The 26,296-nt window shown below is 58.0% G+C and overlaps 1 protein-coding gene across 2 annotated transcripts in view, besides 5 other annotated features; it reads right to left on the bottom strand.

Moving 5' to 3' along the window:
- The window catches only part of PRDM16 (PR/SET domain 16), a 369,419-nt gene that overhangs the window by 57,921 nt on the left and 285,202 nt on the right, over window positions 1–26,296 (bottom strand). The window lies entirely within an intron of this gene.
- Window positions 11,171–11,752: an enhancer, noted in NCBI's record as "OCT4-NANOG hESC enhancer chr1:3285513-3286094 (GRCh37/hg19 assembly coordinates)". NCBI's record gives its function as "activates a minimal SCP1, AML or CMV promoter by ChIP-STARR-seq in naive H9 embryonic stem cells {active_cell/tissue: H9 hESC(naive)}" and the evidence as "EXISTENCE:reporter gene assay evidence [ECO:0000049][PMID:30033119]".
- Window positions 19,357–19,856: an enhancer, noted in NCBI's record as "H3K4me1 hESC enhancer chr1:3277409-3277908 (GRCh37/hg19 assembly coordinates)". NCBI's record gives its function as "activates a minimal SCP1, AML or CMV promoter by ChIP-STARR-seq in primed H9 embryonic stem cells {active_cell/tissue: H9 hESC(primed)}" and the evidence as "EXISTENCE:reporter gene assay evidence [ECO:0000049][PMID:30033119]".
- Window positions 22,563–23,452: an enhancer, noted in NCBI's record as "H3K27ac-H3K4me1 hESC enhancer chr1:3273813-3274702 (GRCh37/hg19 assembly coordinates)". NCBI's record gives its function as "activates a minimal SCP1, AML or CMV promoter by ChIP-STARR-seq in naive H9 embryonic stem cells {active_cell/tissue: H9 hESC(naive)}" and the evidence as "EXISTENCE:reporter gene assay evidence [ECO:0000049][PMID:30033119]".
- Window positions 23,453–24,344: an enhancer, noted in NCBI's record as "H3K27ac-H3K4me1 hESC enhancer chr1:3272921-3273812 (GRCh37/hg19 assembly coordinates)". NCBI's record gives its function as "activates a minimal SCP1, AML or CMV promoter by ChIP-STARR-seq in naive H9 embryonic stem cells {active_cell/tissue: H9 hESC(naive)}" and the evidence as "EXISTENCE:reporter gene assay evidence [ECO:0000049][PMID:30033119]".
- Window positions 23,582–23,876: a silencer, noted in NCBI's record as "tiled region #10388; HepG2 Repressive DNase matched - State 5:Enh, and K562 Repressive non-DNase unmatched - State 21:Repr". NCBI's record gives its function as "represses a minimal TATA promoter and a strong SV40 promoter by Sharpr-MPRA in HepG2 and K562 cells {active_cell/tissue: HepG2 | K562}" and the evidence as "EXISTENCE:reporter gene assay evidence [ECO:0000049][PMID:27701403]".

Genomic DNA, 26,296 nt, shown 5'->3' with positions numbered 1-26,296 from the left:
AACCCTCCCCTGCCAGGGTAAACATCTCTGGCTCTCTCAAGCGTGTCTGAACAGGGACACGGCTGGTTTCTCACCCACATGGGACAGTGTTCTTGAGCCTCCGGTCTGTCCCCGACCCTCTCGGGTGCAGAGGCCTGGAGACCAGAGGCAACAACTCCCCCAGGGGTCCTGGTCCCGAGTACACGCTCAGGCTTTGCTGCCCTGCGGGTGGGGTCCCCTCTCTGGCCTGACAGCCTCTCCTCCCTTGTCACTCTCATTTCCCAGCCATTTCTCCTTGTCCCCGGAGGCCGGGTCCCCAACCCCTGACCAATTTAATAGTCACAGGGTGGGAGTTACACCTGGTGGCCCCTAAAGGGAGGAGCTTCCCCTCTGCCTGGTGGGCCCCCTGGGGTGACTGAGGAGGTCTTGGTTAACTCCTTCCTTCCACAGAGGGGCACCTCTGAGGGGGGCCAGGTGGGCGCTAACCCTTCCTCCAGGAGAGCCAGGAGAAGCCCTGGTCTGAGGGCCCTGAACCAGCAATGAGTGCGCTGAGAAGGGTGTGCCGGAAGGGCATGCACCGGGAGGGGCATGTTAGGAGAGGGTGCACGGGGAGGGGATGTGTTGGGAGGGGGTGCGCCAGGAGGGGTGTGTTGGGAGGGCTGTGTTGGGATGAATGTGTTGGGAGGGGTGCATGGTGAGGGATTGCACTGGGAGGGGTGTGCTGGGAGGGCTGTGTTGGGATGAGTGTGTTGGGAGGGGTGTGTTGGGAGGGGTGTGTTGGGAGGGGTGTGCTGGGAGGGGTGTGCTGGGAGGGGTGTGTTGGGAGGGGTGTGCTGGGAGGGGTGTGTTGGGAGGGGTGTGCTGGGAGGGGTGTGCTGGGAGGGCTGTGTTGGGAGGGGTGTGTTGGGAGGGGTGTGCTGGGAGGGGTGTGCTGGGAGGGGTGTGTTGGGAGGGGTGTGTTGGGAGGGGTGTGCTGGGAGGACTGTGTTGGGATGGGTGTGTTGGGAGGGGTGTGCTGGGAGGACTGTGTTGGGATGGGTGTGCTGGGAGGGGTGTGCTGGGAGGGCTGTGTTGGGATGAGTGTGTTGGGAGGGGTGTGCTGGGAGGGGTGTGCTGGGAGGGGTGTGCTGGGAGGGGTGTGTTGGGAGGGGTGTGCTGGGAGGGGTGTGTTGGGAGGGGTGTGCTGGGAGGACTGTGTTGGGATGGGTGTGCTGGGAGGGGTGTGCTGGGAGGGCTGTGTTGGGATGAGTGTGTTGGGAGGGGTGTGTTGGGAGGGGTGTGCTGGGAGGGGTGTGTTGGGAGGGGTGTGCTGGGAGGGGTGTGCTGGGAGGGGTGTGTTGGGAGGGGTGTGCTGGGAGGGGTGTGTTGGGAGAGGTGTGCTGGGAGGGGTGTGCTGGGAGGGGTGTGTTGGGAGGGGTGTGCTGGGAGGGGTGTGTTGGGAGGGGTGTGTTGGGAGGGGTGTGCTGGGAGGACTGTGTTGGGATGAGTGTGTTGGGAGGGGTGTGCTGGGAGAGGTGTGCTGGGAGGGGTGTGTTGGGAGGGGTGTTTTGGGAGGGGTGTGCTGGGAGGGGTGTGCTGGGAGGGGTGTGTTGGGAGGGGTGAGTTGGGGGGGTGCACCGGGAGGGGTGCACCGGGAGGGGGTGTGTTGGGGAGGGTGCACCAGGAAGGGCGCGCTGGGAGGGGCCAGGCCTGTGTCTGCTATCACAGTCAGGTGTGGGGTCTCCCCTGAGATGCCTGACCACATCTGGCTGCCTGTCCCAGCATGGAGGGTCCAGCCCTGCTGGGGTCCTGCTGGACCCATCTGGGAACTCCTGAAGGAGGGAGCAGATGGAGGAGGAGCTTGGACAGAACTTCAGAAGCCACTGCTTTTCTGTCTCAGATCAGAGAAATGCTCCTGAAGTGGCCCTGGGCCGTGGTTCTGGCCAGGCAGGTGGAGGCTCAGGCCTGGCTTCTTGGGCCTGTACTGTCTCTGATTCCAGAAAGGGCAGGTGCTGCCCTGACCGCTGCCTCCTCCTGCCACCTTTCCTGTCCTCTCTCGCCTTCCTCCCCAGGGTCTCTGTGCACTCAGGGCCATGCAGGGTGCTGTCGAGGCCCCTCGCTCATCGCCGCGGGCCTATGAGGTGGGTACGGTGTTGCTGCCCCATGGTACATTTTGTAGAAGAGGAGATGGAGGCCCCTGGAGACAGGGCCAGCTCCCAGCCCAGGCTGCCGGACTCCAGAGCTGTGCCATGGCTGCCCCGTGTGCTCTCCAGGGCCGACTCAAGGACCAGAGGGAGGGTCCCCGAGCCCTGTTCTGGGAGCCACAAGATTTCACGTCCTCTGGAATCCACAAAGCAGGCCTGGGCAGTCCCAGGTCCCGGTCCCTGCTTCCCTTGGCATGAGACTTGCCAGCACCCACAAGGACAGAGAGAGGCCACCACTCCCCAGCTTGGTGGCCCTCCGGCTGCCCAAGTTGCATCTGACCAGGGCCTCCCTGGGCTCTGGATGCTCCTGGAAATCAGGGATCGGTGGAAGAAACACTGGCAACAGGAACACTCAGGGAGGTGGTGTCCAAGGTCGCAGCCATGTGCACCTGAACACAGGCTCCTTACTGTACCAGGTGGGGACAGCGCCAAGGATCTGTGCCAAAGGCGATGTCTCCGCCTGCCCTAGGGCGCGAGCCCAGCCTTTCCAACCTGGGTGCGTGCTACATCCAGCCACGTCTGGGAGCCGGGCCTGTTTTGGTGTGAAGTCTTCTAGCCCTGACACCTCCAAGGCCCTCTGGGAGTCTCTCGGGGCAGGCCTGAGGCCTGGGATGTTCTCCGTGACATAGGAGGCCAGTACAGATAAGAAGTGGGTAGACGAACGAACAGATGCATGCAAGTGACCAACCCGGGCTCACTGCTCGCTTCTGTTTGCGCGTGATCAATGAACACAGGAGGGAGCCACAGAGGGAAGGAGCGGCCCAGCCCACGTCTCCACACGGCCGGCTTTAGCAGGTAGTGATCTGGAGGCCACCATGGCCACTGGGCTGTGTCTCTCTCCAGATCTGGAATCCAGTTCCCTGCCTGATCGCTGCTTAAACGCCTGGCTTTGAGTTGTTTGGGGGTGAGCCTCAGGAGTCCTAGGACCTCCAAAGGAAACTGCCCTCCTGTCCACTGTCTCCCACTCCCCGGCGCCGGGCAGCTCCCCCAGCTCATAAATCAACCCCATCAGAAATGCTGAGTTACCAAGTGAAGTGGGGGAAAATTTCTCTTAACCTTTACATTTTTTGCATATAATTTGAGGTTTCCTGCACTTCTAATTTGTGGGCTCTCTTCTGGGCTGGTCCTCCAGGTTCAGTGGGCATGGCCAGCCGCCGGCCCCGTCCAGGGTGTGCGTGCAGGTGGGAACGCCGCAGCATCCATCATCAGCTTGCCTAGTGGATTCTGAGCATGCAGGGAGGAGAGGAGCCCTGGGACGCTGCCCTCTCGGTCCCGTCTCCTGCTGCTGCCAGGAGGCTCCCCAGAAGCCCATGGCCATGGAGTCCACCTCTGACAGCCAGGAGCTGGCGGGAGCCGGGGGAGAGGGTCTCCTTACCCTGACCCCCTTCTTTAAGGACCCATGAGCTGATTCAGAGTAAGAAGCCCTGGCTATGGGGCTGTCATAGGCACATGCGCACACGTGCGCACACACAATGGTCACAATTGATGGTGTCCACGAGTAGCCGAAACAGAAAGCCCATTCTTGTGATGGAAGGAGGTGGGGGAAAGGCGTTCTGGAAACACCTCGGTCCGGTGTGAACACAGAGCCTAGGTGAGCTCATAAATCCCCATCCTGATGCCCAATAGGGGGCTGGGTGGTGATGGGACCCAGTGCTAATGAGAAATGTGGCTGGTGGGATGGGGCCACACCACGGCCAGGGACACAGGAGGCCTGGTCGGCGGTCAGCAAGCCTGGGGCCCACCTGCTTAGGCTGAGAGGGAGGTGGGAGGAGAGGAAACGAAGGAGGATGGGAGGGTTGGGGTGGGGGAAGAGTGAGGGGAGAGAGAGAGAGAGAGGCTGCTGCTTGGAGAAACAGGCAACTCTTGGCAGCCATTCCTCCAAGATGGAAGCCAGCCTCTCTCCTAAACTCGCAGAGAGAGACAGAGAGCAAGGGTGGGCTGTCTGGGGCTTGTCTCTGGAAGAAGCTGGAGGGGGCTGTGGCTCTTAGCTCCCGCCTGACTGTGGTCTCACTGGATGGTTCTCAGGCAGTGGGGCGTGCTGGGGGAGAGATGAGGGCCAGGGTCCCAGGGTCTCAGACAGCCCCAAGAGCATGGCCCAGAATTCAGATGCAGCAAGAGGACCCTGTGACCCAGTGGGACTCTGAGGGCAGAAGAAGGCCCGGGACACGTGGAGTCCACGCCTGGGGGGCTCTGCTTTTGTGTCAGTGCTGGGCAGATCTGAGGAATGCAACGCGCTAGAAAAAGAGTCACCAAATTCCACACTTTGTAGCCTCTTGGGGCCACAGACACCTTCGAAAATCTAGTAAAAGCCACAGACCAGAAATCACGGAGACACCCCAAATGCCATGTGGAAGCCCCCAGGGGTCACAGACCCTCTCCCTTCAAAAGCTCCAGTCACCCAGATGCCCTGCAAACATGGAGGCTCACAGATCATCTCCCCCTAAACACCAAGACACCGGGATGCTGTGGCGCTCCTGGGGTGCACTGACCATCTCCCCCAAAGCACCTGGACCCCAGATGCCGTGGAGCTCTGAGGGAGCGCACAGCCCTCGGCAGCCAGCCCACAGCCCAGGTTCCGGAGTTCTGCCATCTCTGCTGTGGAGTTTCCCCTTAGTTCTCTCTCTCTCCTTCGTTCCCTCCTCCCCTTCCTTCCTATTCCTATTTTCTTTATTCTTTGGGCAGGGTCTTCACTTGGGTGGGGAGCGACCTCCCAGCAGCGTCTATGAACATTGAAGAAAACTTTGGTTGAGACAGGGAAGCAAAGAGGAGTTTCCATCTGACCGTGCGCAGTGCCCAAGCTTCTCAAGGTCCCCTGGGGTGGGACTTATGCATCCTGATCTCACACCAGTGGAGGACAGGGGCCACACAAGCCCGGGCCTTGAGGCTGTGCTGTGCCCCCTGCCACAGGAGTGGTCCCTGCCCCTTCCTGCAACCTGCACATGGCGTGCTCCTGGTATGTCCCCAAACTCGGCCCCGTCACTGCTCTCCCAGCAGCCTGGGGGTGTTGGGGGCTGGGCTTCCTCTCTGGCATGTGGCTCGTCCTTCGTGGCACCTCTGAGGTTTGGCTTGTGAGCCATGGGCTGCAGCCCTGACCGTCAGAAATAAAGGAGCACACTGGTGACTCAGACCCAGGTTCTTGCATCTTTAGTGAAATGAAGGGTTGAGATACAGGCTCATGAAACACAGAACGCCTAGAGGTGATTGGCAGTGCGTGGAAAGAGCAGGGTCTGTCGAAACCTTGGGCTCGGCAGCCGGTGGGTGGACACAGTGGGGAGCACCATGTCCTGGGGGGAGTACCAGCAGGGCTTGGGCCCCTCCCTCTAGGGTGCTTCAGAGACTGACCTCTGAGTCACACAGGCCCTCCCAGCCCCGATCTCCCACCATCCTCATCGTGACAGTGTGGGGGTTGTCTGGGGTCCTGCCTCGGTGTCCCCCCTTTGGAGCTAGAAAGCCTCTTTTCTGCTTTCCAGCTGCTTGGAGGCTGTGGCTACATGCAGGCGGGGTGGGCTCTGAGGAACTGGGAGCTGGCCTTTGGCACCTGCTGAAGATGTCCTGGAGGACCCCTGTGCTCAGCCCTGCCCGGACACCGAAGGTTCTCTGCTGTGTGCCTGTGGCGGCCACTTCGGGCCACTGGTGGCTTGGGTGCCTGCTGCTCCCCCGCCTGGCTGCTCCTGCTCACCTGCTCTTTAGAATGGGGCCGTACCTGGGTCTTCCGGATAGTCAAGAAGTACAAGCACCTCTGGCCCTCTGGAAGCCTTTAGTGAGGTCCTCAGGACCCCCGAAGGGACGAACCAGCCCTTGCAGTGAGTAGGAGAGGGGCACCCAGTGAACAGGCTATGCTGTGCGCTCTGCCTTAGAGAATGCCTCTGCCTCCGCTTGCAGAGCTCCCCCTCCCCCTTCCGGAGGGTCTCAGATGTGCACAGCGGCCCCCAGGAGAAAGGCCACAGTCGCACAGAGGGCCCTTGGCTGAGCATCAGGGGCCCTCCTCACAGACCCAGGCCAGCTGCTAGGTGGCTGCTGTGCGGGGCCGGTGGGGGAGTCCTTGGACCTTCCTCTGGGGACACGTGTGTCCAGGGAGCCTCCGTCTCTGCCATACGTGTTGGGAGTAGCTTAGGTATGTTTCGCCTCTGAAAAGTTGTGTATAAACTGTATTTCTGTAACGGGGATCCCAGCTTACAGATGTGTCATTTTTAAAGGGATCCCGCATTATGGTCAAGTGGAAAGCTCTTTGCCAAGGGGGCGCCCTGGGTGCCGTTGCCTGGCTCTGCTGGCTTTGATCTGGGGACCCCAGAGCAGGGCAGAGAAGGGTCTTGTGTTGATGAGGATGTGCTGGTTTCGGGGCAGGGGTGGAAGCAGCAGCAACATGAAAAGCCGGCCCTGGCCCCTGGCGGTCAGCGGCTGGGACCCCGGGATCCAGCCCTGGCCCTCCTGAGAGGTTTGCCTCGTGCTGGCCGATATACCACACTCCCTCCAGGAGGGTATGGGGACCTCCATCCAAAGTGGCAGTCACTTTCCCACTCAGCAAGCCTCCAGGAGGACACCGAAGCAGGCCAAGCTCCACCCAGAGCTCCAAATGGAAGCAGCGTGGTTGGCTCTGGTTGGCTTTGGTTGGCTCTGGTCAACACCAGCAGCCAGGACAGGGTCTGTTCCCTGCTCTGTCTTCTTCCTGTGGATGCTTTCTGGCAGGACGTCCCAGGCTCGGCCATGTGTCCCCGTGGGGATGGCAGGGAGGGCAGCACGCGTTGGCTGGGCTCCTTCCTGGCTGCAATCCCTGCTGTTTTTCTCACGGAGGTGCAGGCTGGAGTGGGTTTGCCACACGGGGCCAGGCTGCTAGAACTGATGCCCCAGCCCCGCTTGCCCAGCACCCCCAGGAGAGAAGCTCCAGGTCCCGCGTCTGTCCTGCCTGCAGGGAGGGACCCCAGGGGTGGATCAAGTCTGTCACGCCAGGTTGACCAGGCCTGGTTCTGTGGCCTTGCAGGGGTGTTTTTCATAAGCACAGAGACGGATTTCCATGGCTGCGTAGATGACTAGGTCAAAGCAAGGATGTGGGGGCGCTGAGCCTGAACCTGCTGAGAAACGTCTGCAACGACGGCCTGGGACTTCCCCCCGAACCCCCTGGCTCCCCGAGGAGGTGTCTGGAGTCTCCACAGTGTCTACTTGCCCAGATGTGGGTCACCGCAAAGGCACGCTGGGGCGGGGCTCTCACTGTCTCTCCAGGGCATGGCGATTTCCGACCTCAAGGAATCTAGGGGCTCTAAGGAGACTCTGGGTGTGAATGCTCTGGCATTGTTGCCGTTTCCCGCCGGCACTGCAGCAGGGGGACTGAGACTGTCCCGTGGAGCTCGCATGCAGAAGCCGGCTCCCCTAACCCCCGTGCTCCCAAGAAACCCCAGCTCTGAGGAGACTCTTGTGTGTGCCTGAGCTCAGCCCCGCCCCACTGGGTGTCCTGCTCCTTACGAGGTGGAAGCATCCATGTCTGGTCCTGCGGCGGTGAGAGTTTGATGCCCAAGCTGCTGATATAACAACATCTGGGCAATTTGGACTGGTGAAGGCCATTGGTGCAAAATCCCCCAAACCCCGCTAGCTGGTAAGTCATTCCCCGAGCCCGCAGGCTCTGCATCAGGCCCTCTCCCCACCCCATAGCAGGCCCCACACCAGTCCCTGCTCCTTAGGCTGGGCCCAGAACCCCGTCCGTGGCCCTGACTCAGGCTCTGGAGGAGGGTGGGATCTGGGGCAGCTGTGCCAGAGCAGCAGCTTCTCCACCCAGAGCAGGCTGCCATAGTTCAAACATTAACAGCTCTAACAGTTGTTCAAACCTGAATTTGATTTAAGTTGGGTCAAGAGCAGGAGGAGGCTCTGAGCCTGAAGGTTGCACGTTACCGCAGACTTGGCTGTGACATTCTCAAGTGAGATACTTTTGTTTTGGTTTGGTTTTTGAGCATAGCAAAGATTGGAAAGAAAAAAAGCCCAACAGCCCCAAACCAAAGGCTTGTGGCAACTCCTTGCCCGGGGTGAGGCGGGAGCCCAGGTCGCCCACAGGAAGCGGTTTCTCTGTGAGGTGACACGAGGCCCTGGGAAGTGTCACATTCATAACCTTTCTCTGGCCACTTAGATGGTGACACACTGCAGAGCTTGTAAACGTGGCACCCCACAGCAGATGCGGGAGGAATTCTTCATGATGGGCTGAGCTGATGCAGCTTGGGGTGGGGGTTCCCTAAAATAGCTGGCTTGCACCCTGGAGCCATGGGAAGCAGGGCCTTTGGGGCAAGCCCAGAACTTTCCTTTGTTGGAGAAAAGCCCCCACGTGTGGCAGCTGAATGACAGGCTGAGGAACCTACCAAGGACCCCTGGGGTCCCTCACCCAGCTCTTCCCCGTTGGTTGGTTCCTGAGGGGTTTGTGCATGATCTCAGTAAGAGCTGTGCAGAGGCTCATGGCCTGGTCACCCTCAGGCCCTCTCAAATGTGCAGGCTGCACACAGGGAGTGACTTCCAGATGGACCTTAGGAGGACCAGACACATTTGAGCGGGAGCAGCTCAGAGTCTTCTCATCCGCTTATTCTCTGGAGAGGCCAGTGCTATGCAGAGCTGAGGCCCACAGGTGCTGAGACTCACCACTGAGTCATTGGATGCTCATGTCTCCCCCAGGGGTAGCCACCCTCATATCCACATTTGTCAATAAGGGAATGGAGGCACAGAAGAGTTAAGTAATTGGCCCAAGTTTGCACAGCCAGAAAGGGCAGATGGGCTGGGCGGTGGGTGCTGGCTGTCCACCTGACTCCTTTCACACTGTCAGGACCAGCGCCATGCACCTTGGCTCGCCCTGCCCTGCTCACTCTCCTCTAATTGATGATGGTAGCCAACAGCAACTGAAGCTCTTCCAGGGCCTCACCCAGGATCAGTGTTCAGTCAGGGCTCACTGAATGTTTCCATGAATGGATGGATGGATGGATGAATGGAAGGATGGGTGAGTGGGTGGGTGGATGGATGGATGGGTGGGTGGATGGATGGATAGATGGTGGATGGGTGGGTGAGTGGGTGGATGGATGGGTGGGTGGATGGATGGATAGATGGTGGATGGGTGGGTGGATGGATAAATGGATGTATGGATGGATGATGAATGGATGAATGGGTGGATGGATGCATGGGTGGGTGAATGGATGGGTGGATGGACAAATGGATGAATGGATGGATGGTGAATGGATGAATGGATGGATGATTCAATGGATGCATGGATGGATGGGTGGATGGATGGATGTGGAATGAATGGATGAATGGATGGTGGATGGATGAATAAACGAATGGATGGATGGATGGGTGGATGGGTGGGTGGGTGGATGGATGGATGGATGGATGGATGGATAGATGGTGGATCGGTGGGTGGATGGACAAATGGATGAATCAATGGATGGTGAATGGATGAATGGGTGGATTACTGAGTGGATGCATGGATGGATGGATGGTTGAATGGATGGTGGATGGGTGGGTGGATGGATGAATAAATTAATGGATGGATGGGTGGGTGGATGGATGGATGAATAGATGGTGGATCGGTGGGTGGATGGACAAATGGATGAATCGATGGATGGTGAATGGATGAATGGGTGGATTATTCAGTGGATGCATGGATGGATGGATGGATGAATGGATGGTGGATGGGTGGGTGGATGGATAATTAATGGATGGATGGGTGGGTGGACGGATGGATGAATAGATGGTGGATGGATTAATAAATGAGTGGATGGATGGATGGGGAGCAGACCCTCCCCTCAACTTGCCCAGACACTTATGGCTTCCCCAACTTCGTATGGTGAGACACAAGGGAACACCATTCCAGGAGTTGTCATGGTGGCAGAGCACAGGACACCTCTCCTGGGAAGCCTGCCCTGGTCCCTCACATCAGGGTGAGGCTCCTCTCAGACACTCTCACAGTCCCTGCCCTTCTTAGCATGGACACTGCACTGGGCCATGGCTATCACGTCGCAGGTCACTTCCTCTCCTCTGGTGGGTGGTGGGGCTGGAAGGTTTTATCTGGCTGATTCCCAGAGCCAGGCAAACCATGAGTGCTCAATGCATGCTTGGGGAACAAATGAATGAATGAAGGCGCCTCCAGATGACTGAGACTGTCAGCCAGCACTCCCTATGCCTCCGTTTCCCAGGGGTCTGTCTTCATCCCTCCATTTCAAATCCTTTCCCTTCTTATTCACGGGCTCTGCTGAGGGATGTGGAAAGCCTTTTCCTGGTTACTTGCCTCTCTGGAAATCAGAGTTGCAACATTTTCCAGATCATTGTCCTCTGGAAAGTGTTATGGTTGCAATTTTCCCCTAGGTGCAGTGTCACAGTGGCCAGTCTCCCCAAAGCAGAGGCCACGGTGGGTTTGTTCATCTCAGCACCCTTTGGGCCCTGGCACATAGTAGGTGCTTAGCAAAAGTCTGGTTGCATGGAGAAGGGCCAGGATGGATCCAGCCCAGTTATATTTAGTGCCTTCCCTGCAGCTGACTCAGTCTCTCCGAGCCCATCCTTCTTTCTTCTCCCTGTGACACGCCGGGCTGGAGGAGCTCAGTGACTCACTGCCTTTCGTATCAGGCCTGATGTTTTGAGATCAGCTCTTGCAAATAGCTCAAATCTCAACAGGCCAAGTCTAAGCAAATACCTTGCCAATCCCTATAAAGAACAGCTCTTGCTGCTCTTTGACATACAAAAATGGTCATTGGCAAAGGATTCTTGGTGCAGACAATGTTGTCTTTGGATGCCCTGCAAATAGCCAACTCTGGTTTCTTCCCGGACTAGGCCCAGGTATGCGTGCATAAAAAGATGCTGGCCTGGGCCTCCTTTTGGCTTAATTGAGAGAGACATGCTTTTCCTCCAAATGGTTCTTTATAATGATTCTACTTCCCAGGATTTCTGTTTTTCTCAGCAGAGCCTGGAGCTCAGCCACAGTCCGGCTGGTTGTGTGGAGAAGGGCCCCAGGGCCCGTGAACTGGAACGAATCAGCCCATCCTTTCTCCTCATACCCAGCTGCCCAGCGGATGTGGAAGAACGGAGATGCTGGAAACTGCAATGCCGGATATCTGGATGACACAGGCTCCTTCCTGGATGATCTGCTTCTCAGGTGGTAGCATCCCAGCCAGAGACCACCCAGATGCTCGGTGATGGGCTTTGAGCTGTGTGCTAAGCCCACCCTTGGACGTGAACTCTGCTTAAGACATCTCCCTTGGAAGCCAAAGCTGGCTTCCTTCCCAAACCGTGGGCACGATGGGCCAGATCGGCAAGTTAGGAAGTGATTCACAGACAGAGGTGCTGCAGAGTCAGTTTTGAATGACAAATGGAACCAATTAAGTTCAATAGCGCGCTCGCTCCCCCCGAGTTCCAGCCTGTACCTACAGCTAGTCACCTTTGACAAAATATATCAAAGGAATTAAGAGTGTGTCCCCCACAATGATATTACCTGGATCCCTTTCAGGTCCTCACCAGCCACGTTCAGACATCTATTTAAGCCCAGGAAATAGAATCAAAATGGTTTATTAAAAATCTAATCACAAGCACTTATATGACACAAATGATTCTGAACTGCATCCGCCAACCCCACGGCCTCTCCGAGGGGAGGCAGCATGCGGCCGATTACCCGGAATTTGAATGGGGGTGTATAGAAGCTGCAGAACATTTTAATCCTGATCTTTCTTTGTGGATTTTGCTATTGCTATTTTTTTTTCTGTTGAAAAAGACAAAGATGGGAGGACACATTGTCTTTCCTCCCTGGAGGGAGCTGCAGAGATGACTTATTCTGGCAGATCTGCCTCTATTGATGTTACCAGGATGTGAATAAAAACTCATGGGAAAAGAAGAAAAAATCCTGCTGAATTTAAAGCAGCACAACACGGTTTACGGGTGGGTCCCTGTCTGCTATCCTGAGCCAGGACACCTCCCTGGTGACTGCATTGGAGCTTTCTCAAGAGGAGGGCCTTGTGCAAAGATGGCCCCTTTCCCCTCAGGGTGGGAGCGGCTGGGCTTGGGGGAGACACTGTCTTTGGGGTGAGGCATGGTTCGTGGCCTTTGCTTGGCTTTTGACTTTCTGGAGCTCTGGATCCTTCACAGATGCTCAGAACAGCCATGGATACAGAAGAGTCTCCTACGGTGTCTTCCTGCCCGGGGCCCAGCCAGAGCCAGGGCTCCACCACCCAGGGCTCAATCATAGCACTCTTTTCTGGTGGCCAAGACCCCCGCAAACTTCTCTCCAGACAGAGGTGTCGGAGCCTGGCCCGTGTTGCGGCTCCTGAGCTGGGAAGTCCGCCACGAGGAAGCATCTGTCGGGACTGCCTCCTAATGAATGTCAGGTGCCTGCGTCAGCCACGGGCGGGTGGCTCTGGAAGGACCAGCAGGTTCTCAGCGATGCATGATTTCGGTAGGTTGCCCTCACCTCCTCCCCTCTGTTGGGAATGGATAGACTGTTTTCTAGAAGGTTCCCTGACTCTTTGAGGGGATTGGGCCCTCTGGCATGTCAGGTACAGAATGTTCCCCAAACCCTTCATCTCTGTCCCCTCCTCCAGCTCTCTGCAGATGATGACTTTACTTTTACGTTAAGTTGCTTTTGTTTAGTCTTCCTCTCTAAACAACAACTACTTTTAAATGATTTTTTAAAGTACAAAGAGTTAGTTTGATTCTTCCTCAAATGCCTTCTTTTGAAGACAAGCTTGCCTTTTCGATTTCATATCCCATTTAATTAAAACAAAATATAACAGAATCATAACACTGAAAATCAGTGTACTCACTACCGGCTCCATTAATTCTTATCAGTATAAAACATACATTCAGAAGTGTAAGTGCTTTAAAATACACTCCTTCCACTCTTGCCAATATGTTCTATTTATACACGTAGTCTACAGCGGGGAAGAAGTTCTCCTTGTGAACCTAGGGAACCACAGGACCGCACGTGTTTTTGGACAATGGACGCTTGAGCCCGGCACTTTTGAGAGCTGTTGGGCCGGCAGCTGTCACATTCCAGCCACTCCCCAAAAGCCATTTGGCTGTGGGTGCGTTAGGCCTGGGATCAGCTGAAAGGTAGCATCTAGGGGTGTCCCCACCTGGCTCAACCACAGCAAAGAGCTTGAATTCAACTTTCCTCTGCCAGACAAGACCCCTCCCAAGTCACGTCTGCCATGAAACCCGCACACGCTTCCTGTCCAAATGGAGCAGAGACCTCCCCATGGCAGTTATGTTCTTGAGCCGCAAACACTAAAGATGCTTGCTCCATCAATTTTTTTTTTTTTGAGACAGAGCTTTGCTCTTGTTGCCCAGGCCAGGCTGGAGTGCAATGGTGCCATCTCGGCTCGCTGCAACCTTTGCTTCCCGGGTTCAAGAGATTCTCCTGCCTCAGCCTCCCCAGGAGCCGAAATTACAGTGGTCCAACACCACGCCCGGGTAATTTTTTGTATTTTTCGTAGAGATGACGTTTCACCATGTTGGCCAGACTGGTCTCGAACTCCTGACCTCAGGTGATCCACCGGCCTCGGCCTCCCAGAGTGATGGGATTACAGGCGTGAGCCACTGTGCCCGGCCCTTGCTCCATCTTTAACCGGTCGTCAGCATCCTGAAAACAAAGCCTAGCAAAACAAAACACGCACGTGCAGCCCCCTCACTCCCCGGGATGCTACAAAGTTCTCTTTGTGCACTACAGACCGGGTAGACTGACGTGGTGTTCACAGACACGGTTACAGCCTGATGTTATGCAATAGCATGTTAACCACACATTCTAGTAAAAAAATAAAATAAATAATAATAAACATTTGACCTAGAGTAGAGATCTTTCACGAGACGCCCTAATCATTTTTCTGCTCCGACCTCAGTTTTTTCTGGAACTGCTCCAGCAAGCCCAGGGTGGTGCGACGGCCTTTTTCTCTCTGGGAACAAAAGGTCTTTTTTAGTCCTCAGGGCTGTCAAGATTATCCAAATATTCTCAGCTTACTACTAGCCCCTTTCTGAATTGATATTTCCAATAAAAGGACACTTTGTATCTTTAAGCCACACTGGCCCCCGGAGCAGGCTACGGAGGCTGGGAGGCCCGCTGCACAGCCCTGGTCGGCACAGCCTGGGAGATGGGTGGGAAGAGAGTGTCCCGGCATACTGAGCGCGAACAGGCATGGAGGGCCCAGGGCAGGGGACACGGCCGTCCACTTGAGGGGAGAAGGCAGAACCCACAGAGAGTGCGTGCCTTCCCGTCAGGACATCAGCGCGTCCCGGAGTCCTGCTGCACTGGGTCTGATTTTGGCCAAGCCTGTCTAGTCTGCGAGCGGCCGCCAAGCGCATTAAGTCATGGTCGTGCTCAGTGGCAGGAAAGAATTCATTCCAGCCGGACCAAGCTGTGCGAAGCCTGTGTTCTCCGGCTGTCGGCACATCGGGGCGCTAGAGCCCCCCTGAGCCACAGGTCAAGGGTTATTTCTTAGCCTCACCTCTTCGCCATCTTCCCAGACCCTCCCTGGCCCCACAGGCCAGTTCTGTGCGTATGTGGCATGAACATGTATGTGTATGTGTGTGTGCGTGCGCGTATGTGTGCATGTTTGTGTGCGTGTGTGCGTGTGTGTGCATGTGTGCATGCGTGTGCGTTTGTGTGCATGTGTGCGTGTGTGTATGTGTGCATGTGTGTGCACGTGCATCCCTGCGCACATAAACACGTGCAGCTGACAGCCTTCAAAGTCGTCCCTGCAGCCCCACAAAGGGCATTTCCTTCCACCCCAACCTCCTCCAAACGGCTCTGATTAGCACAAATGATAATTCTCATTAATCACCTTTGGCTGCTGCAGAATGGAAACGAGGCCGCGGCGAGGTGACGGGAGCCACTTAGGCGGGATTTATGACCTGTGTGTGCAGTGGCAGCTTCAGGGCCTGACACCTCTGCCTGCAGCTAACATTCAGGGCCGCTGGCTGCCTAGCACAGAGCCCCCAGTATTCCCTCTCCTTGTCTGTTGGCTGACTCTGGGGGCACCACCAACCCCATGGATCACCCCATGGTCCAGAGCTCTTTCAGGTCCTGTGGTGGAATACAGTGGGGCTTTGGGGTGTGGGCCTGCCCAATATAAGGAGGAAGAGGCGGGAGGGAGCACTTGTATTGGCCAGGAGGTCCCCTCCTCACTGCCTCTCCTTCCTTCCCAAACCCAGCCACACGCGCCTTTCCTCTTCCTGACCCTCAGGGGCAGGGACAGCCCCCAGCCCAGGGGTGGGGAACCAGATCTGGCACACGTGTGACACACAGTAGGTGCTTGGTAGGGGTTTGTTGGTGCCACAGCAGGCTGAGTGTGTGGCAGAGGAGGACGGCGGCACAGGGCGCCCAGGGTCACTGCGCCCACCCAAGGCCCCCTGGGCACTGCCAAGCTCCAGGCGGGGGGCCATGCGACCCGACTCCCACTTTCCTGAACAGACCCAAAAGGAACCCACAGTGCCAGCTCCAGGTTGCTGCCCTCGCCCACTGGCCGAGTGGGTCCCTGGCTCAGAGAAACCTATTTTCTCCTGGGGACCCTGGTGCCTTCCCTTCCTTTGCATCCCCTGGGAGGAAACTTCAGGGGCCCAGCACTGGGTAAGGCTTTCCCAGGCTGCACGAGGGAATGAGGGACGGCGTACACACACAGCCCTGGCAGCGTGCAGAAGGCAGCGCTCGCCAGGTGGGAACAGCAGCACCCAGAAACCACAGGGTCCCCGAAAACATGCTGCTTCCTTCCGAAGCAACGTGTCCTGCTCGGGGCACCTGGCTGAGGCTGCGCGGGCCCATGTTGGGCCTCTGGGCCTCCTGGCCCGGCCATGAAAATTAAAGCTTTGCTCTGCCTCTGGTTTCCATAAGGCCCGCCTGTCCCCCGCGCAGCTGAGTGGGGGAGGAAGTCACTGCCCGGCAGCAAATAACTATGCTGCTGTCCAGCCTGCTTTAATTTTGCCCTTGCACCAGGGGGCCACGTGCAGGAGCCCAGGGTCATTACTAGGCTGTTGCCGGGGGTGAGGGGCTGAGCGGTGGGAATCCTGGATGTGGACGGCTCAGTGGAGGCCTGGGTTGGAATGGAAGAGGAGCCATCCTCCGGGGGCTTGTCCAGAAAGTGCCCCAGATAGGGTGGGTGTCACCGTGTTAACCTCTGAGCGCTTCAAGAGGCTGTGGCTCCTTGTCGGGCACTTTTGGGTTTGTAAATTACCAGGTCAAGGTGAGGCTGCCAGGCAGGACGACTTGGGGGCCACTTCATGGAAAACCAGGGGCCCCTGAAGAACCGATAAACCACCCACAATACAGACCTCCGCCCAGGACCTCACGCCGAAGGAAAAGCTTTGCTCTGTCTTCTTTTCAAGCACATTCACTGCCACGTCGTGGCCACGGTGGGGTGGATTTGGGTGGGTCTGACCCCTATTCCCTTCCAGAAACCCACCTGGAGCTCTCGGAGGACTGAGGCTGCGTAGCAGGACTTTGCATCTCATCCAGCAGTTTCTACGCCAGAGGCCACGTGCAACAAGATGCGGGGGAGGCATGTGAACTTCCCCCCCGCAGACAAAATGAGGGAACTCATGAAGGGCTAAGGTGTGCGTAGCGGGCTGGCTCGGGGGGCGGGGGGCGCTGCCTTTAACTCATGAAGGGCTGAGGTGTGCGTAGCGGGCTGGCTCAGGAGGTGCTGCCTTTGGCCGGGCTGCTTTAGCTGGAGGTGGGAGCTGCAGCGGGCCCGTGTTGTGATGTTTGGAGTTTTCTGCTTTCTCCTCCTTCCTTCCTCCTCCTTCTCCTTCTTTGAAAGGATTTTGGTCCTGACATTTCAGCTTCCTGAGTTTTTCCTCCTGGGTGGCTGTGGTCACCTTGGAAAAGGACCTTCAAGTGGGCAATTCTGAGCTGTGCACCTGCCCCCCGGCCACTGTGGGGGCTTGTTTCCAAGGGGGCCTTATTGGGGGGCAATGGGAGCTCACTATGAATTTCATGCTCATGAAATCAAGGCAGGATAAGATTCTCACAAAGGAAGACACCCATGGATGGCACTCAGGATGCCCCAAGAAAATCAAACTGCCCGAATGCAGGATCTGGGCCTGAGAAGGGCTTGGCAGAGGCTTCCAAGTCCCAGCTCCCCCGTGCTCACCGGGATCCCTCGGCCCCGAGCATCCAGGGACCAGCAGCCCAGAGACTCCCTCCCTGCTGGGAGGAAATTCCCGGAGAAGAATACCTTCCTGGGGTATGTTTAATTAAGGGCAATGTGAGCTTGTCCATCTCATGTGGGACGCTGCTGTGTTCAACAAGTTGTCAAAGGAAAATGACAGTGGACAGACAGCAGTTAATGGGACACCCGTCTTGAGAGGCGGGCAGCCCTTCTCACACTGTCGCGGGCCCCGAGATGCAGTCAGGAGCGGACAGCAGCCTTTTACCACCCGACCCCCGGGCTGGAGGACTTTGAGCATCTGCCTCTGGTCTCCCCAGGGGAGGCTGGCTGTGATGGGCCTTGCCCAGTCAGAAAGGCCCCACTCCGGCAGGGTGGGGTAGCAGCTTCTCACATGCCAGGGTCCTTCTCTCTGCTCCCTGGAGAGCAGCCAGGAGGGGCTGATTTGCCCCTACATAATGATGCACGCTGTGGTGTCTTCAAATCCCGAGACCACGCTGAGCTGGAAAGAGGGCTCGTTCCTGTGTGAACCCCGAACAGTTCTGGGGCCAGCTGAGAGTGTGCTACAGGGAAGGCTGTGCTGCTCCTGGCTCCCCGACACTCCCTATGGCTCCCCGACGCTCCCTGGAGCAGGTCAGGGCAGCCTGGGAGGAGACCGTCCCACGGGGGGGATTTTAGGATCTGTGAGGTTGTGAGGAGACCCGGCCGGCTTTGTGACAGCCTCAAGAGGGCTCCAACTTCCAGAAGATTCTTCCTGCTGTGGGATCTGTGGTAGCTGCTTCCAGAGAGTTCTGATGACTCCTACTCTTTAGAAAGGACCATCTGTGACCCGAAGGCCCTCGGCAGTCCCAGGCGACCCTGCTTCCTCTTCTCCGTCTTCCACTGGTTCCCACCGTGAGCCTGGCCTGGTGGACCCCGATGACACCCGAGCCCCACCCTGCTGAGCTGTCTTGGCCCCTCCTGACCCATCTCTGCCTGCCCCACTCCCGGGCACCTCCCCAGCCTCCTTTATATTTCCTTGGCTCTTCTTGCCGCAACCATGACCGCCCGTTGTGAGCCCGAGTCTGCTTTGATTGCCTGGTTCCCAGGTGGAAGGACGCCTGGGTGTCCCATGCAGAGGGTGGACAAGCATACACACCACGTGCCCGCTATGCATGGCTCCAGAACTTTCCATCATGTTTGACATTTGCACTCACTCATGTGCCGGTGGCACGTCTGCTAGAAGGAGGACAGGGTCACCAGGACTAGAATGAAGACAAAGGCAGGGGAAGGAGTTGAGGCCACTCCATGCTCCTTGGAGAAATGTCTGCCTCGGGATGGGACTGAGTGAACACAGGTGTCTTCCTTCACCTTCCAGACAGATGTCCCCGGGACCAGCTGGCTACCAGCAGACACCCCTCCCGGGCCACAGTCACTTCTCACCACCTGCCCTCCTGGGCCACGGTCACTTCTCACCACCTGCCCTCCTGGGCCACGGTCACTTCTCACCACCTGCCCTCCTGGGCCGCGGTCACTTCTCACCACCTGCCCTCCTGGACCGCAGTCACTTCTCACCACCTGCCCTCCCTCCTGGGCCACAGTCACTTCTCACCACCTGCCCTCCTGGGCCACAGTCACTTCTCACCACCTGCCCTCCTGGACCGCAGTCACTTCTCACCTCCTGCCCTCCCAGACCGCGTCACTTCTCACCACCTGCCCTCGCTCCCGGGTCACAGTCACTTCTCACCACCTGGTCACATAGCCTTCTGTTCCACTCTTCACCCCAGCCCATGTGGGGTCTTCTCCAAAAGCCCCACAACACCATCCTTCCGATTCCCCATCTGCTCCCGATCCGAGGAGCTCACAGTTGGGCCGGTGTTATGCCCCAGGTGAGCTTCAGGGTTCCAGCTGGGTAGGATGTGGACTGTGGCATGCAGGAACAGCAGGGCCACGTTCCACAGATACCCTTTTCTTTGTAGCCTTTTCCTTTCCTCCACAAAACTGCAATTATCTTGTGCTACACACAACTTTCAGGGGTCGTTCTGCCTGCTGGCTGTGAGGGAGGGGGCAGCTGCCCAGACATCGGTGGAGGGTCTAGGCCATGAGTGCTCAGTGTGGCTCTGGGTCCTGGACGGCTTCAACACGTCATCCCCAGAGACCCCGTCTCCAGCCCTGTTGGGGGCTGGCGTGCAGCTGAAGCCCATGCTGAGGAGGGTCCCAGGGGAGACGGCCCACAGGCTGTGACGGTGAAAGCAGCTGCTTGGTTTAAAGGGGGACGGGGGCCTCCCAAAGGGTATCTGTGGCACCCTCTGTCCACGCCCCAGAGCCGAAATGTGAGGCGAGGAATGCTGCCTCTTAAAACTGTCCCCACTTCAAAAGGCCTTTCCTGCGCTCAATGGAACGCTGTTCCGCAGACACTGCCGCCGTTGTTAGTCAGTGTCCTCGCTCCAGCACACACAAGTGGCTCCGCCGAGAAAACGAGAGTGCATAGACTCCGGCCGCCAGCCACCTGCCTCGTTCCCGCCGCGGGACGGCACCCGCACATCTGGCCCCATGTTTGTGACTTTCCAGGGATGTTCCACTTGGGGAAAATGCAGTGGCCTGGTCCCAGCAGGGCCTGAGTCAGGGGGTCCTGCTGGGAGCCAGGCGGGTGGGATGGCTCTTCCGCTCCTGTTGTCATCTGCGGGCGCTGTGGCCACAGCACTCGGTCAGTTGGACTCCTGTCCCGATGGGCGTGCTGGGCCCTGTGCTTGTCCCACCCAGGTCTGCCCAGAGGCCCACGTAGCCTTCTCTCCTCCCCACGGGACCTAGGGAGGGCATCAGAGTGGCACCTGGCTCTGATGGCCCTCCTCCTCTGCTGTGAGCGGGGGTCTCTGGATGTAAGGGCAGTGACTGGACAGCCACAGAGCAGTGGACACCTCTTCCCAGCATCTACGCCACAGTCCATCCCGCACTTGGACCGGGCTCTGCTGGGGGCTCACTGGCAGGTCTGGTGCCTAAGGACAACGTGTCGGTGGTGTCAGCCGGTGACAGAGGTGAACCAAAACCTCTGGCATAGTTCTTAGCCTCTGTTTCTGGCTGGGGACCTGTGGCCCGGCACACCCATCACAGAGCATGAGGGTGCTCCATCCTGGCAAGGCAGAGCCTAGAAGACTTGTTCATCCAACAACAAAGAGCCAGCACAGGCTCCAGAAGACTCCGCTGCTTCTAGAGGGGACTGGTCGCTCTGGCCCGCAAGCGCCCTCAGCTGCATTCGAGCTGCCACAGAAAACGTGTCCTGGGCCTCCCGTTCCCGATCAAGAACACACAAACTCTGCACATATGTTCAGCATTACAGCGCCATGTCCTGGACGATGAGATAAAAGAAGTGTTCGATTCATTTACCAGAGCTTTCAGAGATGTGACAGTTGGGGACAAGGGATGGCGGCCCGCTAACGGGAACGCATGGAGTTAATTACGTTTGCTGTTGCTTCTCACTGGCTGCTGAGCCGGCTGAAGGGACCTGTTCTGAGCCGGGCGGCCTTCTGTGAGGAGCTGGCTGCCGTCTTTGCGTGCACACGGCATCCGTCTTCCAAGAGATCCTGCACATGGAACACATTGGAAGCCCTTGTCGGGTGCCACCTTCTAAGTAAACATCACTTTGAGCACGGGCGTGGTTTCAGGCCAGGCTCGTTTTTCCCGCCTTGCCTTCTGGCTGCCGCTGAGGGATCAACCCAGTGCGTTCCCCTCAGGCACACAGAGGACGCTTTTTTTCCAAGGGGGAAAGAAGTCAAGATTGCCAAAAATTTTCTAAAGACCCTTTAAGACAAGGCCCAGAGAGATGGGGCTGTGAGTGCTGAGGAGGATAAACAACGGTGACAGGTGGAGGGGAGGCTGAAACCCGAGCCTGGAGTAGCTGCAGGGAGAGATGCGATGCAGATGGTGCAGACAGGCTCACCTCGGGAGGCTGCAGCCACTGCTCCCGGGCCGCAATTCTTGCTGCTTTGTGCTTTTTTAAGTGTGTTTACTTAGAAGGTGGCACCCGACAAGGGCTTCCAATGTGTTCCATGTGCAGGGTCTCTGGAAGCTCTGCCTCAGGCCCTGGTCGGAAGGGAGACCCTGATAGTTCTGAGGCTGTTTTCATGGACATTGACATCCAGGACAAAGGCAGCTGCCCTTGGCCAGGAGGGTCAGCAACTTCAACAAGTCTGCATTTAAAAATGTGTATAAGCCTGGGGAACATAGTGAGACCCCAAGTCAACACAAAATGGACATATTAACTAGGCACGGTGGCACCTGCCTGTAGTCCCAGCTACTCGGGAGGCTGAGGAGGGAGGATCGCTTGAGCCCGGGAGGTGGAGGCTGCAGTGTGCCGTGATGGAGCCACTGCACTCCAGCCTGGGTGACAGAGTGAGACCCTCCAAATAATGGACATTGGTTGATTTGAAGACTCTAGTTGGCCAGTGAGGACTCCGCGAGTCAACTGGCTGTAATGCGACCCAAGATGACAACATGAGCCACAGCGGCTGTGCTTTCCCCCTCTGATTCCTCATGGGAGCCGGCCATGGAGAACATCTTCACGGCTTCCCCACCTCCTCTGCGGCCCAAGAGGGGTGTCTGTTTTCCTCAAAATGGCTTGAGTTTGGAATGAGCTCCCTCCTCCCCGGCAGGAATCATCACACACTGTGACTTTGTGGAGACTGGAAGGAGGTGGGACTCACACACAGTGTCCTGGGTTTGGAGCAGGTTACTCAGCTCTGATCGCGCACACGTGGCGATATTTGTTCACGGGAGCCCCAGCCGGCCTGCTGCTCTGGGAAGGATGGTCTGTGTCGTGTTCCAATCGGAGATGTTTCTGAGCTCTTCGGAGAGGGCTGAGGGCAGGAGGGAGGGGTCCGAGAGCTCCTCTTCCGGCCCCAGTGGAGAATTCGGGGCTCTGCCTGGTGACGGGAAAGGGAACACTGGAACCTTATTCCAGCTGCATCCGAAGCCGCGGCTGGGAGTCTGGGGCGCAGCGGCTGCCTCTGGAGACAACACCTCCTCCACTGTGGGAGATTTTCTGTACCCGCCGAGGTCTTTTGCCATCAGTCCCCATGGCTGCCACCCACTGCCCAGGTCTTCTCCAGCACCCTCAGCCAGGGGGAAGGTCTCGCATCCAGAGAAGACCCAGTTCAGGACCTGCGTAACTACGGTTCCCCAGCAGGCAGGCTGGGTCCCCAGGAGGCAGAACCGGGAGTCTCATGGTGACTTTATCTGTGTACAGGGAGGAAGACAAACTTCCCTCCAAGGCCAGAAAGTGGCCTATTGCACCGTGTCTGTGTGGTCCACGTTGCCCTGGGCAAGGGGGTCATGGCCAGGCCCACTGTGTGGTTCCGGGATGGACCCACGCGTGAGGCCAGGCCACTGGGCACCGCCGTTAGCCAGGGCAGCCTCCTTCAGTGGTCAAGGCAGACTCAGCTCATGGGCGAGCATGTCAGTGAAGGGCACAGCAAGGCTCACGAGTGGGCCTCTTGCCTCATGGTCAGTGTGGGTCAGTGCTTTCGCTGTATGAGACCACAGGGTTTCTCTGCCTCACCATGGGGGACGATTGGGTCTGGGTCACTTCCTGCTGTGGGACCTGTCCTGGGCACTGCAGGATGTGGGGCAGGGCTCCTACGTGCCAGCTACCAGATGCCAGCAGCACCCCCAGAGGTGACAACCACAACCATCTCCAGGTGTTGCCAGTGTCCCCTGGGGGTCAGAGTGGCCCTGGGTTGAGAAGTGCTGCTGGAAGGCCACTGCTCCGGAGGCAGAGGCGCTCGCGGCCATGGGCGTAGACGACTGGGCAGGAAGAGGGTGGGTTAAGCGTCAGAACAGGACTGAGGATGATGCCCTGTGGGCCGGCTGCCCCTCTCCATCAGCACTGGCTGGGGGCCCGTGGGGGGAACGGCGCTTCCTGGATCAAGGGGAAGGAGGGGCGGATCCAGGGCTCTGGAAAGCTCTGACCCTGAGCCTCCTGGGGCCACTGGCCAGGCCCCGTGGTGAGACTCTCCATCCTGCCTGTCGACTGTGCTCCATTTCCCACGGCTGGAGCTGGAGACCCAGGAGGGAAGCACACGGCTGAAGGTTTTCCAGCTCGGGGCGGGGGGTGGGGCTGGCATTTAACAAGAGGCCACTAGGTGTATCCAGCCATGAAGAGCAGGAATGCAGCCTTCGTTTTCAGGAGGGCACAGCAGGGCCTAACAGTTAGGTCCCCGTTCATGGCCCAGGTGGAGGCACGCAGACCCTGGGGGCCAAGAGCCAGGTCCGCCCGCAGGTGGACTGGCTGCTGAGGCTTCCCAGGGCCCGGCCCCAGACAGCAGAGACAGGGCCGGCATGCAGCCTTCCTTGGGGCTGGGGGTCCTTCGCACAGCAGAAACTCCTTTTCTGCACCCGCCTGAGGATGGCAGCAACTTTCAGGGTCCTCAGTTGGGGCTGCTGTGGGCAAGCTGCAGCTGGGTGTAGCCTCTGCATCTGGACAAAGTCCAGGCAGTGTGTTTGCTCCAGGGTCTGTGGGATGGAAAGCAAAGCCACCCGGCTCTCAGGAGACTCGGCCCTCCCGCTGCCGGGATCCGGGGTAGCCAGCCGGCACCTGGGTTCTGAGGGTCCCTACAGTTTATCGATCCCAGAGCTGGAGATAAGGAACCGCCACACTGGCCCGGTCTCCAGGACTCTCACCTCTGAGCCTGGATCTGTCCCGTGCCCACCTTCCCGAGCTGCTCGATCTGCCCAGTGACTTCACATCTCCTGCTGTCAGCTTGCTGGTCTGTAAAGTGGGTTTAGAGACAGTGCCTCCTCCTGGGGCCGCTCTGGGGCAGGCTAAGATCATCTATGTGAAGCGCTCCTTAGAACAGCGTCCAGACACAGCAAACGCTCCATGGGCTGTCTTGGCAGCTGCGGCTTTTATTTTTAAATACTCTGCACCCAGGCAAGGAAAAGCAGAGCTGGGGGCAGCCTCCTCTGACCGTCTCCCCAACAGTGTTTCTCTGTTGGAAAGGGAGGATTTCAAATGCTTGCCTCCCCCACTCCCGTCTCCCCGGAGGGCAGATTGGGTGTGGACACGGCGTCGGACCTCCCTCCGCCTGATGAGACGGCAGCCGCACGTCCTGAGCAGACGGTCATGCATCAGGCCAGAGTGGCCGCCCTGGCCAGGGGCACTGTCACCTTTAGAGATGGTGGCTTGGCGCAGGGGGGCTGGGGGGGGCTTTGGAACAATTCCACAAACACCAGACACGTCGGCCTGCTCAAGCCCCCTGCGTGATTCATCTGTGCCCGCGTGCTGGTGTGCGAAAGGACGTGATTTGCTCAAGATGAGGGAGGTTCTGCTAACGCCCTCGTGGGAGTCATGGGAAAAGCCAATGGCACCGTTTCCAGAAGAACATGAAAGGTCTTGGGCCCTGAAAGCTGCACTGGGTTCAAAGTCCATCACCTGTCACGGAGGGGCCCCTCTGTCAACTTGTCACCAACGGGCCACTCATCAGGATGTGCCCAGAGGAGTGGGGAAAGGCGTCTTTGCTCACATTCACCTCAGATCTTACGGCCAGGGTGTTTGGGGGGTGTTTGGGGGAGGAAGGGTCTGAGATCTGCAGGGCACCCTGATTTTCACAGACACACAGGCTGGGCGGGCAGGACTGGCCTCTGAGCCAGCAGCCTTGTGTACCCCCACATGGCAGTGCACTGTCTTGGGGGCAAGTGGACCGCAACCCCTGAACGGTTCAGACCCTCAGGGTGGCGGCTGCACTTCTCCCGGCCCCAGTTTCTCATCTGTGTGGTCTGAGAGGTGCTGAGGGTCCGGGGCCACAAGAGTGAAGGTGTGTGGCCAGGATAGCGGTCCCCCCAGCAGGAGAGCACCCACCGTCGAGCGGATGCTGCCCTTGTTTTTATTGTTCTTGGGCACGCCTGGCTGTAGCGTCAGGGTCCCTGCAAAACTCCCTCCTTCAAACAAGAGCTGCAACCAGCAGAGCCCCTGAGACCTAGCTCCCCAGGGTGGCACCAACCAGTAGGGACTGTTTAGTTCAACCCCTTGCCTGGGAGACAGGAAAATGGAGGCCAAGCCCCCCGCCAGGCTGAAGAAATGGAAAGAGAAGCTGTGTTGGAAGAGCAGGCGCAATTAATTCGTGAGGTCAGATGGTGGGTGGGTGGGTGTGGCCATCTCCCTGCATTAGGCCCTTCTCACTTTGTACCTGATACCCCGGAGGCCTCCACTCTGTACTCCTCTCCCTCCCCCTCCTGCCAGGCCTCAGGCCCTGGCCCCAGATGCAGCTGCAGAGCCTGGAGCTCGGAGCTCCCCGGCACACCTTCAGGTCTGGGTGTTCTGTGGCCCACGATCCAATCCTCAGCACTATGAGGCCTGGTCTCAAGGCGAGAGGCCTGGTATCGGTGCGGGAGGCCTGGTCTCAGGGCAGCAGTCCTGGCTTTGTCCCGGTGGGTTCCCCCCTGGTGCTCAGCCACAGAGCACTCTACAGGTTTCTGCCTCTGGTCAGATTTCCGCCTCCCCCAAGCTCTGGAATGACTGACCCCACTCCCTTCAGCAGGTGCAGACCTGGCCAGGTAGCCCTTCATGGTGCGGCCCGGTCCTGCCTCTTCTGCCTGGGAACACAGGGCACTCTCCTCTGGGAGAGAGGAGACCTCGCCATCCATCGAAATGTCCCCTCCTGTCTGTGCATGACTTGGTATCAGGAGCCTCTTGCCTGGGTCAGGATTTAGACGTCCTGGTCCCAGCCTGCTCTGTCGTAGCCTTGGAGCTGGCACTGACTCAGCGAAGAGGAAAGGAAATTATCCAATAGAAATGGAACGCTCTGCAGACACCCCAGCAGCACAGAGCTGGAACACCAGACACCCCAGCCTGGAGAAGGTGGTTCTGAGCTCCCATGGCCCCTCTGTGACCTTGTCCACCTATGGCCAGTGCCTGTGGTCAAAGGGCTGAGGGCCTGGATGACCCCAAGGAATGCAGTGGAGAATCTGGTGGCAGCTCTAAGCAAGGTATTTTTTTTTTTTTTTTTTTTGAGGCAGAGTCTCGCCCTGTCACCCAGGCTGGAGTGCAGTGGTGCAATCTCGGCT

Source organism: Homo sapiens, chromosome 1, assembly GCF_000001405.40.
Source record: "Homo sapiens chromosome 1, GRCh38.p14 Primary Assembly".
Taxonomy (NCBI): domain Eukaryota; kingdom Metazoa; phylum Chordata; class Mammalia; order Primates; family Hominidae; genus Homo; species Homo sapiens.
Note: the sequence above shows the minus strand (reverse complement) of the source record. Positions and strands in the feature narration are given on the sequence as shown.